We start from the raw sequence: 21,001 nt of genomic DNA on the forward strand, positions 1-21,001 counted from the left end.
AGGGCCTCCTGAGGTGACTCGTTTGAAAGAAACATCATTCATTTGGATATTCAAGTAATGTTATATTTTTTAAAGAAACAATTACACTATGCTATCATCATGCCATATTTTGTGGGTGTTCATGCGTGTGAGCTTGATTTCATTTGTGCTCATCTTTTCGACTATTTTCCATGTGCCAGTGATTTTTTCAAATGTGTCTTCTACTTCAAATTTCTGACTGATCTCTTATTATTTATATCTCTGAATTTCCCCAAGCCCTGAAATTCTGTTTATTCTATCTAGGCTTAGCTAATTTTCTCCTCTTCCCAAACATTTACTTCTCTTTTAATTTCTACTGAATGAATGGTATGGTAACCAGCTTGGTTGCCTAAGGTAAAAATGTGGATGTCATCTTGGATACCTTCTGCTTTCTCAACACTCACAATGAATTTCTCATCAAATCTGGTTGATTCTACTTTAAAAATATATCTTGAATTTCCAACAACCCTCCCCAATTACAATTGCCTTGATTCATGATTTTATGTCTCTTGCTAGACTACTGTCCCTTCTGCCTGGAATGCTGTTACTCACTTTGACTCCATGGTGAACATGTTTTTCAAGACTCGGTTTAAGCTCATCCCTTCCGTATTCCGTAGCATCATGTTCATGCCTCTGAAGCAGCCTTAAGCACATTGTAGTATTATTCATTTATATTGAGGTCTATCTTCAACTTTTTTTCACAGCTTAGTATAGACATGGCATTTTATTTATTCATTCAGCAAGTATATATTAAACATGGGACAGGCAGACTGCTTGATTCTGCTGTACAAAACAGATAAGATCTCAGACCTTGTGGGTCATACAACATGGTGAGGGAGATAGATAATAAAATAAATAATTACAGTAAAGGGTAATGAAGATAATAATAGGTGGATGATAGGAGGCCATGACAGTATGTAATATATTATATGGGATAAGAAAAGTGTTTACCTGAGGCGGTAACATTTAATCTGAGACCTGAAAGGTGTGTTAGAGTCAGCCAGATTTAAGGATGAGAAGATGGGACTAGGAGGAAGCATATTTCTTTCAGAGGAAATAACACATGCAAAGACCCAGAGGTCACAGAGTACTGATCAAAGCCCTTGAAAGTTTGCTTGATATCCTGTCTTATAGGAAAAAAAATTTTTTTAAATGAAATCAAAGCCATTGAAGGGATTGGAAAAATAATGTAAAGCTATCAATAAATATTTATTGAATGAATAAAGTGTGGGGACATGAGTCCGTCTATAATACTGAGTTTACTAAAGAACATTAAACTTTTTTGAGTTAAATTGTACAAAAAACTTTTAAATTTGTTTGTGGATTTCCCTATACTCTTAAACAGAAATCACCTAATTATACTTTTATTTGAAAATTTAAGCAAACCAGTAATAATTCCAGTTTGCATTGATGCAACAGCCATTTTTAGTTGTCTATTTCATATCCACTCTAATCTCTGTTCTCCCTTATTAAGAAAACCTCCTTTTCTTGGGGTTGCAAAGGCAATTGACTGTGATTGCTCTAGAGTTGTGATATCTAATATACTAACCACTAGCCACATGTGGCTGCAGAGCATGTGAAATAAGACTAGTCTGTGGCTGGCTTCACCACCTGCTGATTGAAGAGCCCCAAAGTCTTAAGGAAACATAGGCAGTAGCCACGTAGTGGTTATAGTAAGCCTTGGGCAAGACCCAGTGCTGTGTTGGCAGGTCTGACCCAGTGCAGTCCCAATAGTGGTGGCCATAGAAGTGCTGTGACATCTCTCCCCCAGCCCCAGGCAGCTCAGCAGAGAGAGAGAGAAACTCTGTTTGGGAGAAAGTAAGGGAAGAAAACAATAGTTTCTGTCTGGCAATCCAGATAATTCTTCCTGATCTTATCCAAGACCACCAAGGCAGTACCTCTATAAGTGTGCAAGAACTAGTGTTACTGGGCTTGGGGTGCCCCCTAATGCAGATACAGCTGCAGTAAACAAAAACTTAGATAACAACAATTAAGTCCCTTTGAATACCTGGAAAGCCTTCCTTCCCAAGAAGGACAGGTACAAATAAGCCTAGACTGCGAAGACTACAATAAATATCTAACTCTTCAATGCCCAAACACTGACAAACATCCACAAGCATCAAGACCATCCAGGCAAACATGACCATACCAAACAAATGAAATATGTCACCAGGGGCCAGTCCTGGAGAGACAGAGATATGTGACCTTTCAGACAGAGAATTCAAAATAGCTGTTTTGAGAAAACTCAAAGAAATTTAAGATAACCCAGAGAAGGAATTTAGGATAAAAAGAATCAAGTAGAAATTCTGGAGTTGAAAAATGCAAACGACATACTGAAGAATGCATCAGAGTCTTCTGTATCAGGAATGATCAAGCAGAAGAAAGAATTAGTGAGCTTGCAGACAGGCTATTGGAAAATACACAGTCAGAGGAGACAAAAGAAAAATGAATAAGAAGGAATGAATCACATATACAAGATCTAGAAAAAAGCCTCAAAAGGGCAAATCTAAGAGTTATTGGTTTTAAACAGGAGGTAGAGAGAAAGATAGAGATAGAAAGTTTATTCAAAGGGATAGGCCAGGTGTGGTGGCTCACGCCTGTAAACCTAGCACTTTGGGAGACCAAGGTGGGTGGATCTCTTGAGGTCAGGAGTTTAAGACCAGCCTGGCCAACATAGTGAAACCCTGTCTCTACTAAAAATAAAAAAATTAGCAGGGCATGGTGGCATGTACCTGTAATCCCAGCAACTTGGGAGGCTGAGGCAGGAGAATCCTTTGAACCTGGGAGGTGGAGGTTGCAGTGAGCCAAGATTGTGCCACTGCACTCCAGCCTGGGTAACAGTTGAGCAAGACTCCGTCTCAAAAAAATAAAAATAAAAATAAATAAATAAATAAAATATATAAATAAAATGAAACATAAAGCATAAAACAAAGGGATAATAACAGAGGACTTTCTAAACCTAGAGAAATCAATATTCAAGTACAAGCAGTTTATAGAACACCAAGCAGATTTAACCCAAAGAAGACTACCCCAAGGCATTTAATAATCAAAGTTCCAAAGGTCAAAGTAAAGTAAGGATCCTAAAAGCAGCAAGAGAAAAGAAACAAATAATATAAAATGGAGCTCTAATAGATCTGGCAGTAGACTTTTCAGTGGAAACCTTACAGGACAAAAGAGAGTGACATGACATATTTAAGTGTTGAAGAAAAAAACCTTTTACCTCACAGTGTTATACTGGTGAAAGTATCCTTCAAACATGAGGGAGAAATTATTTCCCAGACAAACAAAAACTGAGGGATTTGATCAACAACAGACTGTCCTACAAGAAATGCTAAAAGGAATACTTCAATCAGAAAGAAAAGGGTGTTAATGAGCAATCAAAATCATCTGTAGGTACAAAACTCACTGGTGATAGTAAGTTCACAGAAAAACAGAGAATATTATAGCACTGTAATTGTAGTGTGTGAACTACTCATATTCTAAGTTGAAAGACAAAAAGATATCAATTAAGAATAATAACTTCAACAAGTTTTCAAGACATAAACAGTACAATAAGATATGAATAGAAACAACAAAGTAAAAAAAACAGGGAGACCAAATTACAGTTTTTATTAGTTTTCTTTTTACTTGTTTGTTTGTATGTTTATGCAATCAGTGTTAAGTTGTCATCAGTTTAAATAATGGGTTATATAATTTGCAAGCCTTGTAGTAACCTGAAATCTAAAAACATACAATGGATACACAAAAAATAAAAAGCAAGAAACTAAAACATATCACCAGAGAAAATCACCTTCACCATAAAGCAGTCAGAACGAAAGAGAAGACCACAAAACAAACAGATAACAAATAATAAAATGGCAGAAGTAAGTTCTTATTTATCAATATATTATTGATAACATTGAACATAAATGGACTAAACTCTCAGACCAAAAGACATGGAGTGGCTGAACATATTTTTAAAAATGACCCAATGATCTGTTGCCTACAAGAAACACACTTCACCTATAAAGACATAGACTGAAAATAAAGAGATGGAAAAAATATTCCACACCAATGAAAACCAAAAAAGAAAAAAAGAGCAGGAGTAGCTATATGTATATCAGACAAAATTGATTTCAAGATGAGAAGTATTAAAAGAGGCAAAGAAGGTAATTATATAATGATAAAGGGGTCAATTCAGTAAGAGTATATAGCAATTATAAATATATATGTACTCAAACACTGGAGTACCAGATATATAAAGCAAATATTATTAGAGCTAAAGGTAAAGAGACAGACCCTCAATACTATAATAGCTAGAGACTTCAACACTCCACTTTTAGCATTGAACAGATCATCCAGACAGAAAATCAACAAAGAAACACTGAACTTAATCTGCACTATAGACCAAATGAACCTGATAGATATTTACAGAACATTTCATCCAAGAGCTGCAGAATATACATTCTTCTCCTCAGCATATGGATCATTCTCAATAATAAACCATATCCTAGGCCTCAAAACAATTCTTAAAACAATTGAAATAATGTCAGGTATTTTCTATGACCACAATGGAATAAAACTAGAAATCAACAACAGGAGGAATTTTGAAAACTATACAAATACATGGAAATTAAACAATAGGTTCCTGAATGAAAAGATAAAGAAGAAAATTAAAAAATTTCTTGAAGCAAATTATAATGGTAACACAACATACCAAAACCTATGGGAAACAGCAAAAGCAGTACTAAGAAGGTAGTTTATGGCTATAAGTGCCTACATCAAAAAAGAAAAGAAGAAAAATTTCAAATAAGCAACCTAACAATATATCTTAAAGAACTATAAAAGCAAGAGCAAACCAAACCCAAAGTTAGTAGTGGAAAATAAATAACAAAGATCAGAGCAGAAATAAATAAAATTGAAATGAAGAAAACAATACAAAAGATCAAAGAAACAAAAACTTTTTTGAAAAGATAAAAAAAATTGACAAACTTTTAGCCAGAATAACTAAGAAAAAAAGAGAGAAGACCCAAATAAATCAGAGATTAAAAAAGAAAACATTACAACCAGTACCACAGACATTCAAAGGATCATTAGAGGTTACTATGAACAACTATATGTCAATAAATTGGAAAACCTAGAAGTGGATAAATTCCTAGACACACACAACCTACACAGATTGAACCATGAAGAAATCCACAACCTGATCTGACCAATAACATGTAACAAGATCAAAGTCATAATAAAAAGTCTGCCAGCTGAAAGTCTGGACACAAGGCCATCACTGCTGAATTTTGCCAAACACTTAAAAGAAGAACTAATGCCATTCCTAATAAGAGTATTCCCAAAAAAGAGGCAGAGGGAATACTTCCACACTCACTCTGTGAGGACGGTATTACCCTGTTACCAAAACCAGACAAAGACACCTTAAAAAAAAGAAAAGAAAAATAAAGGCCAATATTTCTGATGGACATTGATGCAAAAATCTTCAACAAAATAGTAGGAAACTGAATTCAATAACACATTAAAACAATCATTTATCATGAGCAAGTGGGATTTATCCCAGGGATGCAAGGATGGTTCAATATCTGCAAATCAATCAATGTGATAAATCATATTAACAGAATGAAGAACAAAAACCATATGATCATTTCAATTGATTCTGAAAAAGCATTTGCTAAAAATCAACATCCCTTCATGAAAAAAACTATCGAAAAACTGGGTACAGAAGGAACATACCTCAATATAATAAAAGCCATATTTGACAGACCCACAGCTAGTATCATAATGAATAGGAAAAAATGAAAACCTTTCCCCTAAGATCTGGAATATGATAAGGATGCCTGTTTTCACCACTATTATTCAACATATACTGGAAGTTCCAGCTAGAGCAATCAGAAGAGATAAAGAAATAAATGGCATTCAAATTGGAAAGGAATAAGTCAAATTATCCTTGTTTGCAGATGATATGATTTTATATTTGGAAAAACCTAAAGACTCCATTAAAAAGTATTAGATCTGGTAAACAAATTCAGTCAAATGGCAGGATACAAAATCAACATACAAAAATCAGTAGCACTTCTATATGCCTGCAGCAAACAATCTGAAAAAGAAATAAAAAAGTAATTCCATTTACAATAGCTACAAATAAAGTTAAATACCCAGGAATTAACTTAACCAAATAAGTGAAAGTTCACTATGATGAAAACTATAAAATATCGATGCAAGAAATTGAAGAAGACAGAAAAAAATGGAAAGATATTCCATGTTCATGGATTGGAAGAATATTGTTAAAATGTTCATACTACCTAAAGCAATCTACAGATTCAATGCAATCCCTATCAGAATACCAATGACACTATTCACAGAAATAAGAAAAATAATCCTAAAATTTATACAGAATCACAAAAGACCTAGAATAGCCAAAGCTATCCTGAGCAAACAGAACAAAACTGGAGGAATCATATTACCTGACTTAAAGTTAAACTACAGAACTATTATAACCAAAACAGCACGGTGCTGGCTTAAAAATAGACACATAAACCAATGGAACAGAATAAAGAACCCAGAAATAGATCCTTACATATATGGTGAACTCATTTTTTACAAAGGTGTCAAGAACCTATATTGGGGAAAGGACAGTCTCTTCAATAAATAGTGCTGGGAAAACTAGATATCCATATACAGATGAATAAAACTAGACCTGTATCTTTCACTATATACAAAAATCAAATCAAAATGGATTACAGACTTAAATCTAAGGCCTCAAACTATGAAACTACTGCAAGAAAATATTTGGGAAACTTTCCAGGGCATTGGACAGGGCATAGATTTCTTGAATAATATCCCACAAGCATAGGCAATCAAAGCACAAGTGGACAAATGGGATCACATCAAGTTAAAAAGCTTCTGCATGGCAAAGAAAACAATCAATGAAGTGAAGATACAACCCACAGAATGGGAGAAAACATCTGCAAACTATGTGTCTGACGACAGATTCATAACCAGAATACATAAGAAACTGAAACAACTTAGGAAAAAATACAATAATCCAATTAAAAAATGGGCAAAAGATCTGAATACACATTTCTCAAGAGAAGAAATAGAAATGGCAAACAGTGATATGAAAAGGTGCTCAACATCGTTGATCATCAGAGAAATGCAAATCAAAACTACAATGAGATATCATCTCACCCCAGTTAAAATGGCTTTTACCCAAGGCAATAACAAATGCTGGTGAGGATAAAGAGAAAGGGGAACTTTTGTACATTGTTGGTGGGAATGCAAATTAGTACAGCCACCATGAAAAACAACATAGAAGTTCTTCTAAAAACTAAAAATAGCACTATCATATGATTCAGCAATCCCACTGCTAGATATATCCCTCAAAGAAAGGAAATAAGTATATTGAAAAGATATTTGCACTCATGTTTATTCCAGCACTATTCACAACAGCCAAGATTTGGAAGCAACCTAACCAACAGATGAATAGATAATAAAAACGTGGTTCATATATACAAACAGTACTATTCAGCCATTAAAAATGAGATCCTGTCATTTGCAACAACATGGACGGAACTGGAGGTCATTATGTTAAGTGAAATAAGTCAGGCACAGAAAGACAAACTTTGCATGTTCTGACTTATTTGTGGGAGCTAAAAATTAAAACAATTTGAACTTGTGGAAATAGCAGAATGACGGTTACCAGAGGCTGGGAAAAGCAGTGGGGCTTGGGTGGGGGCAAAGAAGTATGGTTAATGGGTACAAAAAATAGTTGGGGCCGGACGCGGTGGCTCACGCCTGTAATCCCAGCACTTTGGGAGGCCGAGGCAGGCGGATCATGAGGTCAGGAGATTGGGACCATCCTGGCTAACACGGTGAAACCCCGTCTCTACTAAAAATACAAAAAATTGGCCAGGCGTGGTGGTGGGCGCCTGTAGTCCCAGCTACTCGGGAGGCTGAGGCAGGAGAATGGCGTGAACCCAGGAGGCGGAGCTTGCAGTGAGCCAAGATCGTGCCACTGCACTCCAGCCTGGGCGACAGAGCAAGACTCCATCTCAAAAAAAAAAAAAAAAGTTGGAAAGAGTGAATAAGGTCTAGTACCACAACAGGGTGACTATAGTCAATAATAATTTAATAGTACAATTTAAAATAAAGAGCATAAGTAGATTGTAACACAAAGTATAAATGCTGGAAGTGATGAATACCTCATTTACTCTGATGTGATTATTACACATTGTATGCCTGTATCAAATTATCCCATACACCCCATAAATATAATACACCCTACTATGTACCCACAAAAATTAAAAATTAAAAAAGAAAGCAAAAGAAAGAAATAAGGCTAGTCTGAAATGATATGTTGTAAGTATAAAATATACACTGGAGTGCAAAAACTATAAAATGTAAAATATGCTATTAATAACTTTTGTATTATTTGCTTGTTGAAATAATATTATAAATGTTAGATTAAAATATATTATGAAAATTAATTCACCTGTTTCATTTTACTTAAAAAATGCCTACTAGTAAATTACATATGTGGTTTACATAATATATGTATTAGGAAGCACTGAATTAGGCCATTCAAAACAATCCTGCTTTTCTTTTCCCTTTCCCAGCTTCCCTCAAAGGTAAGTATGACCATAGGATCCAATTCTGGACAATGAGACCTGGGCAGAATTCTAGGTGTGTTCTGGGAAAGTTTGGTTTTGTTTTGTTTTTAACTCCTGGTAAGGATTGAAACTGCATTGCCCTTTTGCTTTCCAGCTTCTTTCCCCCACTGAATTGTGGAGATAATAGCAAGTGGACACATGGGTTATTAAAAATATTTTAAAAACATTTTTAATGATTCAATATTTTTGGGAGAAAGGCTAATAGAATCGCATAGATTTTTGTCTTTGACAATATTGATTCATTGCTACTATATAAGAAAAATGGCATCCTATTTATGTAAACTACTATTGGTTCTGCATTCTATTTCTTATAGCCAGACAAGTTATTAACTAATACAATTGTATCTGATATTATCCTCAGGGTGGATTAGATTGTGTGGAACCGTTATGCCTGTTCTCAGCACCCTCTGACTGCTATGTATTTACATCTGCTTTTTAAACAATAATTTTTTAAAATTATATTTTGTTGGGTACAGTATTCTATAAATGCCAATTAGGTCAAGTTGTTTTATAGTGTTGTTCAAGTCTTCCCTATTTGCACTGCTTTTATCCATTAATTTGATTAATTATTGAAAGGGAGGTGTCAAAATCTCCAGCTATAATTGTGATTTGACTACTCTCCTTGGAGCTCTATCAGTTTTTTGCTTCATAGATTTTGAAGCTTTGTTATCAGGTGCATAAAAGTGTGGTGTGGTTATATCCTCCTGATATATATATATATATATATATATATATCCAATGTAATCAATGCTTTTTCTTATTATGGAATGACCTTCTTTATCTCTGATAATATTTTTGTTCTAAAAAATCTACTTTGTCTAATATTAATATAGCCACTTCACCTTTTTTTGTTTAGTGTTATCATGGTGTATCTTTTCCTATTGTTTTACTTTTAACCTATTTATGTTTTTTATATTTAAAGTGGGTTTCTGTAAACAAGTGGTTGGATTCTGCTGTTGTACTCAAACTGGCCATTTTGGCTGCTAACTTAGGATGTTTAGGACATTTACATTTAATGTGATTATTGGTATGGTTGGGTTTAAATCTGCCTTGTAACTATTTCAATTTTCTTCATCTGTTTTCCACTTCTCTTTTTCCTTTTTTTTTGGTTTGTTTTTATTTCATGTTGAATATTATTTTATGCTTTCATTTTATCTCATTTGTTGCTTATATTACCTTAACTCAGGAAGACCGCAAATCTCTACTCGTTTCTCTCCCACTGGGTCATGACCTAGAAACTTTTTTAGCCAGTAAGCTGGGGCAATAACAGGGCTCAACTTGTTTGTCTCTTGTCTCTCAGAAATCACTGCCTTTCATTGCCTGGTGTTTAATGTCTTGAAAACCATTCTCATATATTTTGTCTGGTTTTTTAATGGTTTCAGGTGGGAGGGTAAATCTGGTCTGTGTTACTCCATTTTCACTGGAAGTAGAAGTCTCCTTCATTATCTTTTTGATATAAGATTGATTACATACAAAAAATTGACATGTAAATAATGAAATGTAATGTAAGTATCTGCTTGTTTTACTTTTTTCTGTTACCTCCCTTCTTTTCAAGGGGTGTGTGAGCTTTCACTTGTAACGATACAATTGTTTCTTCTCTTTCTTTTATACACCACCACCAAACAATTCAGATGTTCTGCAATTCCAGCTTTAAAAATATACCCCAAATTGATCACATCTACTGTCAGTGCTTCCCAGGTTAAGCCACCATCATCTCTGGAAACTACTGCAATGGCCACTTAACTTGTTTCCTGCATCTATCCCTCAGCTCTCCCAGTCTGTCCCCAAATATCAACTAATTTTTTTCTTATGTTTAAAATTATACTATAATTTGTAGTGATAAACACATATATTTAATATACCATTCTGTGAGTTTTAACAAAGGCAGATATAAACCTTTCTATCATTTTAGAAAGTTCTCTCATGTCCCTTTTTAGTCAGTTCCCACTCCACCCACAAGAGACAATGACTGTTCTGATTTCTATTAGATTAGTTTTGCTTTTTCTAGAATCACTAATTATATATTATTTTGTGTCTAGTTTCTTTAACTCAGTATAATTTTTTTAGATTCATTCATATGGTTGTGTGTATTGGTTATGTTTCTTTGTATTTTTGAGTACTAATCCACTGCACAACTGCACAATAATTTGGTTATCATTCTTTTATTAGTGAGTACCTAGGCTGTTTTCAGTCTTTGGCTATTATAAAGTTGCTATAAATATTCGTATAAAAGTGTTTTTGTGAACATATGCTTTTATTTCTCCTGAGTAAATATCTAGAAGTAGAAATTCTAGGTCATTGGGTAGGTATATGTTTAACTTCATAAGAAACTGCCGAGCCATTTTAAAAAGTGATTGTACCATTTTACTCTTCCATTGATGATTTATGGGGGTACAGACCATTTCATATTCTTTGCAACATTGGATATTGTCAGTCTTTTTAACTTTAGCCATTCTAATAGGTAGGTAGTGCAATCTAATTTTGATTTAAATTCCATTTCTTGATTAACAATGTTGAATCCTTTTTTATGTGCTTATTGGCTATTCATATTTGTCCTCTATAAAGTCTCTTTTCAAATCTTTTCCTCACGCTAAAAAAGGATGTGTGATGTCTTTTTATTATTGAGTTGTAGAAGTTTCTTACAGAGTCTAAGTGCAAGTACTTTCTTAGATACATTTTGCAAATATTTTCTCCCAGTCTGTAACTTGCTTATTTTTGTTGGTGTCCTTTGACAAGCACAAGTTTTTGATTTTGTTGAAGACCAATTTATCAAATTTTTATTTTATGGTTATATTTTCTGTGTTGTGCTACAAAATTCTTGTCTATCCTATGTCATACAAATATTCTGCTATGTTTTCTTCCAGAAACTTTATAGCATTAGTTTACATATGGGTATTTGATCCATCTTGAATACAGTTTTGCATATGATATGAGGTAGGTTTAAGATTTATTTATTTCCATAGAGATATGCAATTTTTCCAGCAACATTTTTAAAAAAGAATTTTGTTTCTTCACTGAATTGTTTTTGATGCCTTGGTCAAAAATCAGTTGACCAAGTAACTGTGGCTTTATTTGACTCTCTATTCTGTTCCACTGGTATATTTGTGTATCCCTACACTGATACTACGCTCTTTTGACCACTGTTGCTTCCTAGTAAGTCTTGAAATCAATTAATGTAACTTCTTCAATTTTTTTCTCATTTTTCAAGATAATTTTAGCTAGTTTAGGTTGTTTGCATTTCTATATACATTTTTGAATCAGCTTGTCAATTACGTTTCTTTTTTTGAGACAAAGTCTTGCTCTGCAACCCAGGCTGGAGTGCAGTGGTACAGTCTCGACTCACTGTAGCCTCGACTTCCCAGGTTCAAGGGATCCTCCCACCTCAGCCTCCCTAGCAGTTGAGACCACAGGCACATGCCAACACACCTGGCTAATTTTTGTATTTTTTGTAGAGACGGGGTTTCACAAAGTTGCCCAGGCTGGTCTTGAACTCTTGGACTCAAGTGATCCACCCACCTCAGCCTCCCAAAGTGTTGGGATTACAGGCACCTGGCAGCTTGTCAAGCTTTATTAAAAAAAAAAATTCCCTGGAATTTTGATTCAGATTACATTTTAGTCTATTGATTAAATTTGGGGAGAATTGCCATCTTAACAATATGAGTTGTCCAATTCATGAACATAGGTTATTTCTTTACTTATTTAGGCTTAATTTCTCTCAGAAATGAGTTTTAGTTTTCCATGGGGAGGTCTTATACACCAACTATTAAATTTCTCCCTATTTTATATATTTTTGTTACTATTATAAATGGTATATTTAAATATTCTTATTTTTAATGTTTGTTACTAATATATAGAAATGTTATTAGTTTTTTGAACATTGATATATCACGTGGACTTGCTTAATTCATTTCTGGCTCTAGTAGCTTTATTTATTTATTTATTTATTTTTCAGATTCCTTAGGATTATCTATATACACAATAATGTTGTGGCAAATAAAGACAGTTTTACTTCTTCCTTTCCAAAATGTATGCTCTCTTTTTTTTTTTCTTGACTTACGACAGTGGCTAGAATCTATATAGTACCTTGCTGAATAGAAGTAGCAAGAAAGAACATCCTTGCTTTTCTCTTAATCTTGGGGCAAAAGCTTTCAGCCTTTTATCATTAAGTATGATGGTAGCTTATATTGCTGGACTTATATATAATTACATATTGCAGGATTTGATTTGTTAATATTTCTATAGAATCATTTTCATCTTTATTCATGAAGGCTATTACCTGTACTTTTATTTTCTTGTAAAGTTCTTGTATGATTTTGAAATCAGGGTTATTCTGGCTTCATAAAATGGTCTCTGAATTATTCTTTCCTCCTTTATTTTCTGGAAGGGTCTGTGTAACATCAGTGATATTTTTTTTTAATGTTTGATGGAATTTACCAGTGAAGCATCACAAGTTTCAATTGCCTTAGTAGCCCTCAAATTCAATCTCTTTTTTCCTCCATCTAGCAAAAGACTCTGTTCAACATTTGGGCTCCACTTTGCTGTGCTGCGTTGAGAAAGTGCCCTCAGACAGAAAGCTAGGGAGAATGGAGGGTTTACTTTGTGTTTTCCTGCACTCAGGGATTATAGCCATGCAGGCCTGATTGTCCAATGCCTGGAAACTTTTGCTTCATATTTTGTCCAGTTTTATGGTTATGCATGGCTGAAGCATAAAGCCAGTGGCCATTTTTTCTATCATAGTCAGAACTGAAGGTTTAGAGTGATGTTTTGTAATTAAAAACACATTGTGTTAGTTTTTGGCTCCAAACTCACCGTCCAAATGGAGTGCCAACTTATTGCAAGCAAAATTCAGATTTTTTTTCTATGGCCAATAAGACCACACATGAGCTGGCCTCCTACTACCTATCTATCTCATCTACTACCATCCTTCCCTTCACTTTGCTCTAGCCATGCTGGACTTCCTGCTATCCTTTAACATACCAAGCTTTTCCACTTGTTCGCTCTGCCTGTAAAGCTATTCCCCAAGATGCTCCCATGATTTACTCACTCACTTTATTCGTGTCTCAGTTCAAATGTTACCTCCACAGTGAGGCCTTCCCTGAACACTGTGACAGAGAACTCTTGCACCATTTTTGTACTCTATCATCTGATCACGCTTTACATACGTTCATAAGTCTCAGTGCTTTTTGAATGTATATTATACATTTTCCATTTACAACTTTCTGTTGCAACTTTTCAACTGTATTTTTGTAGCTCAAAACAGCCATAGACAATATTTAAATAAATGGATGTGGCTATGTTCTAACATAATTTTATTCACAAATAAAAGCGAGCTGTAGTTTGCCAACTCCTGGTCCAGACTATCAATACATTGTCTCTGACTTATACATATACGACCTAAAATTATCTCATATGTAAAAATGATTTTTTTTTCTTTTTTTCTGAGACGGAGTCTCAATCTGTTGCCTAGGCTGGAGTGCAGTGGCACGATCTCAGCTCACTGCAAGCTCCACCTCCTGGGTTTACGCCATTCTGCTGCCTCAGCCTCCCAAGTAGCTGGGAGCACAGGCGTGTGCCACCACGCCCGGCTAATTTTTTTGTATTATTAGTAGAGACCGGGTTTCACCATATTAGCCAGGATGGTCTTGATCTCCTGACCTCGTGATCCGCCTGCCTCGGCCTCCCAACATTCTGGGATTACAGGTGTGAGCCACCATGCCTGGCCAAAAATGATCTTTTTATAAGCACAGTAGCTTATCCACCATGGTTACAGACAGCTCTGGTACAATTTCCAGACCTCCTGTAGTTTAAGTACAGAAATTCTGTACTTAAAAAAAAAAAAATTCTTGTTTTTCTTTTATTCATGCCTCAGTCCTACGGTAGAAAAATACTTCAAGCTTTTCAACAGACTTTAAAGATAATGTTAAAAATACATCACTCACATTTTGAAATTCTGTGGATATATCAATTAGCAATGCTTTCAGCTGCAAGTAACAGAAAACCAGACCAACAATGACTTAATCATCAGTACACTTTTTGTTTTCTTAATGAAATTCTGTAGGTAGGTGGCAGTTCAGTGACTTAATGAGGATCTCAGATTTTTTCATTCTTCTATTCCACCAATCTCAGATTGTTGGCTTTTGTTTTCCAACTTAAAGCCTCAAGAGGACAAGATGGCTGCCACGGCTTCAAGCATTGTTTCCTTACGTAAGTGTGCAAAGCAGAAAGGGAGGGAAAGGATCAAAAGACCTTCTCCTTACATCCCCTCTCTTTTATCATGAAAGAAAATCTTTATCAGAAACCTCCTGGCAGACTTGCCTTGCTTCTTACTGAGATAAACTAGGTCACTTACCTCTGCTTAGGTCAGTCACTTGGACAAGGAAATGGAGGTTCTGTGACTACTTTAGTTGAGGGGTTGACAAACTAAGGTCTGTGAAAGAAACCCAGTCTTGGGCCTGTTTCTATGAATAAAGATTTATCGGAACACAGCCATACCCATTCATGTTTATATTGTCTATGGCTGTTTTTGTGCTGCAAAAGTAAAGTTGATTAGTTGTGACAGAGGTGTATTTACTACCTGGTTCTTTACAGAAAAACTTTGCTGTCCTCTGGCTTTGACTTAAATTCATGCCCTAAGTCTAGCCACAAAATCAGGACTCTTTAAACAAACAAACAAAAAAATTAGGAGTGGCTCGTAGGAAGGCAAATAATAGTGACCCCTATTATTGTTTATAGTCATTTATATGGTATGCTAATGCATATTTTAACAAATGGCTAACAGATGTACTTTTTGAAAACTCATTTTCAAATTCTCAGTTTGGGCCCTTCACTCCTTGTTCCTGTTGTCATTCTACCCAAATCTTAATACCATCCCTAATGACTAATCTCGTCTCTCTCAAAACTTCCTTTCAGCCTTTAGGAATTTAAGAAGAATTCAATAGCATTGAAGGCTCTGGAGGGAGTATAGTGTAGGATTCAATTATTGAGTAAAACTGAATTTCAAACTTTTTCATTCTGCAACACATGATAAGGGTGCCTCCCTGCTTTGCACAACTCTCTGTAGATTTCCTTCCCTGGCAGGGCGCTGTGGGCCTGGCTGGTGTTTTCCTTGAGTCTGAGTTGATCTCCTCAGAGCTGAGGGAGAACACTGGAAAAAAGTGTCCTTTAGAGATTTAGAGATATTGATAAGCAATTAGAAGATATGCCACCAAATGCTGGTTAAGAAGATAAGTCAATCTTTTAGAAAGTTTGAAGCAGATGAAAGGAGATGCTGGAGGAATTTTCTGAGCTCCATCAAGTTTGGGTTCCATAACTTTGTGCACTGCTTGGGTTGTAGCCAGTTATAGGAGCCTATGAGAGTACACAGTTTTTTCTTTTTAAAAAATATATATATCACCACACAATTTCCTACTCCTTTACCCTCCCAGATCCTACAGCTTTTCATCTAGATATAACAACAGAAGTGTTTAAAAATAGAGGCACTGGGAGAGGAAAAAGGGTCTGGGATGTGAAGGAGACAGTTTTACTTTTGTTCAACAGCCACTAGAAATTAGTTTCAACTTTTCAGATCTAAGCTTATTGAGAGGTTTAACCTGCAGTTTGATGAAAAATTCAACCAGTGTGAAATTTTGGAATACAGAATATCTGTGAGTGAGGACAAACAGACCTTCTATGATCCATTTTGTGGCTGAAACTTTGATTCAAAGAAGAGACAGTCCAGGCCGGGTGCGGGGCTCACGCCTGTAATCCCAGCCCTTTGGAAGGCCTAGGCGAGTGGATCACTTGAGGTTGGGAGTTTGAGACCAGCCTGGCCAACATGATGAAACCTCGTCTCTACTAAAAAAAATAGAAAAGATTAGCCAGGCATAGTAGTGGGTGCCTGTAATCCCAGCTACTTGGGAGGCTGAGGCAGGAGAATCGCTAGAACCTGGGAGGCGGAGGTTGCAGTGAGCCGAGATCACCCCATTGCACTCCAGCCTGGGCAACAAGAGTGAAACTCCGTCAAAAAAAGAAAAAAAAAAAGAAAGAGACACTGAGTTTGTGCCTCTAATTGTGCCTCCCCTTTCTTGGGAATAATAGCCCTGTAGGGCAGGGGAGGATAAATAAGAGCTTCTAGGGTTTAACTTAAAAATCAGACTATTTAAGCCCCTGGACCTCTGAGCCTTTCCATGTCCCCTTGCTCATGCTCTCTCTACTTAGCTGTTAAAAGATCTGCTCTTGCTGCACTGTCACTCTCCACTCTCCTCCCCCTGCTCAACTGGCTTCAGTCTATCCACCATCCTCTCACCGCAGCTGCTACCACTGCTGTTCTCAGAGAGGTGTGGAGGGGTTTCCTCCTCACCACTGCTCACAGCTCTGTTTTAGGATCCCTCTGTTAGCCTGTCTCTTAGCTTACAGGCATTCTGCCAAAGAATCTGGAGCCTTTCCTAAAGGATGGGTAGAAGTGAATTTGAGTGACACAATCATATGTCTCCCTAAATGGTTTCTTCTTCCCTACTAATAATAGGTATCAATAGGATTCTACGTATCTTGACCTTCTCCTACTTCAGGTGGGATCTAAAGAAAAGGTCATCTTCCCTTTTCTTTTTGGTGGAAGGGTATTCATTGTGGTTTCATAGGTTTTCCATCTCAATATTTCTCTCAAGAACACTAGCAGGAGTGTGATGAGCCCTGGCTATCCTGATGGCCCTGTGGGCACTGACCTGCACTCTGCACTCTCTGAGCCTGGCACCCCCGACCGTTGCCACTTCTGTCCCGAGTCTGTTCCCTGCCTCCCAGGTGATGAACAATGCCCTCTTCCAATGGCCCTCTGCCTTGATGTTGCTCCCCTGCCACCAAATCCTTACTTCTATGGCCCTTAGTGCCAACTTTGTGCCTTGAAAGAGTCATACCAAGTACACAATTAAACCAGTGAAGATGAGGAAGTCTGGGGGTGAAGACCACACAGGCCAGATCTGGGTGCACGGTATTGACAGGGGCCACAAGCAACATTATTGCATGATTGACTTTTGTGTTTCTGGCCTGAGGAGGAGACCAAGTCAGGACCCTTTGAGGAGAAGGTTATCCAAGTCCACCGTGATCCCTGTAGGTCAGCAGACATAGCTCTGGTTGCTGGGGGTAGCCAGAAACACTGGATCATCACCACAGAAAACTTGCAGGCTGGAGATACAATCCTGAACTCCAACCACATAGGCCAAATGGCAGTTGCTGCTCAGGAAGGGGATGCACATCCACTTGGGGCTCTGCCTGTGGGAACCCTCATCAACAACATGGAAATTGAGCCAGGCCGGGGTGCCCAGTATATCCAAGCTGCAGGGACGTGTAGTGTGCTACTGTGGAAGGTGAATGGCACAACCGTTATCCAGCTGCCCTCTAAGAGGCAGATGCAGGTGCTGGAAACATGCATAGCAACAGTAGGCTGAGTATCCAACACTGATCATAACAAACAGGTCACTGGCAGGGCAGGTCACAACCGTTGGCTGGGCAAGAGGCCTTCCAGTGGGCTACAGCACCACAAGGGGTGCTGGGCTGGCCGAAAGATTTGGCCACTACCCTTCATGAAGAGTTATGTGAAGCTGCCTTCTGATGCTGCCCAAAGCTGATATCCCTGTATTGTAATAATGTGCCCCCCTCCCCTGAAAAAAAAAAAAAGAGCACTAGCAGGTTCTTGAGCAGCTGGAACTCTTAGAAACTTGCTGTTTTACCCCAAGTTTCCAGTATGAGTATAGTGATTAGATTCTCCTTCTTCTCATCTTTTCTCTTTCACTGGCCCTCAAGGCACTTAAAATAAAGCCATTAATATTTCATGGTAAACCTTTGTTTTTATCATGCTCACTTCAGCAGCACATATACTAAAATTGGAATAGTACAGAGAAGATTAGTATGGATGACATGCAAATTCGTGAAGTGTTATATTTTTAAAAGAATGAAATGCTGTCACTTACAGCAACATGGAGAAACCTGGAGGGCAATATGTTAAGTGAAATAAGCCAGGCACAGAAAGACAAACACCACATACTCTCATTCATTTTTGAAATCTAAAAAGTTGTTCTCGTTGAAGTGGAGAGGAGAATAGTAGTTACCAGAGGATGGGGAGGGTAGGAAGGAGAGAGAGATGATGAGAGTGATGGTCAACGTGTACACATTTACAGTTAGATAGGAGGAATAAGTTCTCATGTTCTTTTGCATACTAGACTGGAGATGACAATAAAATAGCTAAAAGAGAGGTTTTTGAACATTCTTATCACAAAGAAGTGATAAATGTTAAAAGTGATGGCCATGTTAATTACCCTGATTTGGTCATTACACAATGCATACATGTGCAATCAAAATATTACATTGTATCCCATAAATATATATAATTAGTATGCATCAATTAAAATTTATGCATAATTAGTATGCATCAATTAAAATTTATGCATAATTACTATGCATAAATTAAAACTTTTAAAAAAAACTAGTTTTTTATACTATTGAAAACATAGTTCTATGCATTTTCTAAAATGCCACCTATGCCCTTCCTATTCAGAGCCTCTTGGCTTTAACACATACTGGCCAACTTGGGACCACAGAGGAGGAGCTAAAACATGAGGGATTGGTTTAGGAGGTAAGGGGAGACCCAACATTCATGGCTCTGGGCTTCGGTCATTTGTTCTCTTGTTGGACTTTTTAAAAATAATTTCAACTTTTATTTTAAATTCAGGGTGTTTATGCGCAGGTTTATTACATGGGTATATTGCATGATGCTGAGGTTTGAGGTATGATTGATCCCATCATCTAGGTACTGTACATAGTTCCCAATAGTTAGTTTTTCAAAATTTATCCCCCTCCCTCTCTAGTGGTCCTCAGTGTCTAATAGTAAACATTTGCTACGTCTAAGATTACATGTTAATGATACCGGAGATTACACATGTGCAAGAGGCATAGCTAATGCTTCAAACAGTATAGAGATGGGAATAATTTATATAAAACAGAGAATCTGGGATAAAATCTATGTACTTATATTATAAATTTGGGATTTTTCCCTAAGGAGATGATATTTGAAGTTTTACAAGAGGCATTCATTCATTTAGTCATCAAAAATTTGTTAAGCACCTATGTAATAAACACTTCTAGGTGCTATAATAATAAAATATGAGTGAATGGCAATGGGGAGTTATTTGTTAATGACTCTAGAGTTTCAGTTTTATAAGATAAAGAGTTCTGGAGATGGATGGTGATGGTGGTTGCACAACAATATAACTGTTGGCTTTTTTTTGTTTGTTTTGTTTTTGAGATGGAGTCTCACTCTGTTGCCCAGGCTGGAGTGCAGTGGCGTGATCTCGATCTCGGCTCACTGCAACCTCTGCCTCCTGGGTTCAAGCGATTCTTGTACCCTAGCCTCCTGAGTAGCTGTGATTACAGGCACCTGCCACCACACCTGGCTCTTTTTTTTTTTTTTTTTGTATTTTTAGTAGAGATGGGGTTTCACCATGTTAGCAGGCTGGTTTCAATCTCCTGACCTCAAGTGATCCTCCTACCTCGGCCTCCCAAAGTGCTAGGATTACAGGCATGAGCCACCGCACCCAGCCATAACTGTTCTTAATACCATTGAACTGTACATTAAAAATAGTTAAGATAGTATATCTTATATTATGTATATTTAAGCACAATAAAAATTGAAAACAAAACAATAACAAAATAGATAAATGAATAAATAATTTAAAAAAACATGAGGAAACAAAAAAAGACCTTTGCCCTCTATGGAGCTCATAATCTAGCACGGGGCAATAGACACTACATATTATATTATTTATACATTAGAAGGTCATAAGTGCTAGAGGAAAGGTAGGGGGATTAGGCATCTCTAGGTTAGTTGCTGTTTTAAAAAGAATTGTCAGAGTAGGCCTCTTACTCTTTGATCAAAGACATGGAGATGATGGAATTAGCTACATAAATATCTGGGTTCCAAAGCAGTGAGAACATCCAGTGCAAAAATCCTTAGGTAGGAGCATGCCTGGCACGTTCTAGGGATGTCAAGGAGGCCAGTGTGGCTGGGACAGGGTGGGGGCAGAGAGAGATAGGTAGGAGTTGAGGTTACAGTGGTAAAGGGAAGTCAGATCATATGGGTTCTTGAGATCGTTGGAAGGACTTTGGTTTCTACTCTGAGAGAAATGGGAACCATTGCAAAGTTTTAAAAAGGAGAACGGATGATGTGACATATTTTAAAAGGATAATTATTTACAGAGAGAATAGACTCAAGTGAAGAAGCAGGGTACCTGCTTAGGAGGCTGTTGTATTAGTCTTTGGGTGAAAGATGGTGGTGGCTTGGACTAGAGCAGTAGCAGTATTCG

At 36.8% G+C, this 21,001-nt stretch overlaps 1 long non-coding RNA gene and 2 pseudogenes across 1 annotated transcript in view; all 3 read left to right on the plus strand.

Moving 5' to 3' along the window:
• LOC107984543 (uncharacterized) overlaps positions 1–21,001 on the plus strand; it is a 104,864-nt gene that overhangs the window by 23,326 nt on the left and 60,537 nt on the right. The gene's annotated exons all lie outside the window — the stretch shown is intronic.
• On the plus strand, positions 17,347–18,305 carry MRPL2P1 (mitochondrial ribosomal protein L2 pseudogene 1; annotated as a pseudogene).
• RNU6-148P (RNA, U6 small nuclear 148, pseudogene) lies at positions 18,497–18,590 on the plus strand (annotated as a pseudogene).

The sequence above is a fragment of the Homo sapiens genome, chromosome 12 (assembly GCF_000001405.40).
Source record: "Homo sapiens chromosome 12, GRCh38.p14 Primary Assembly".
Classification (NCBI taxonomy): Eukaryota; Metazoa; Chordata; class Mammalia; order Primates; family Hominidae; genus Homo; species Homo sapiens.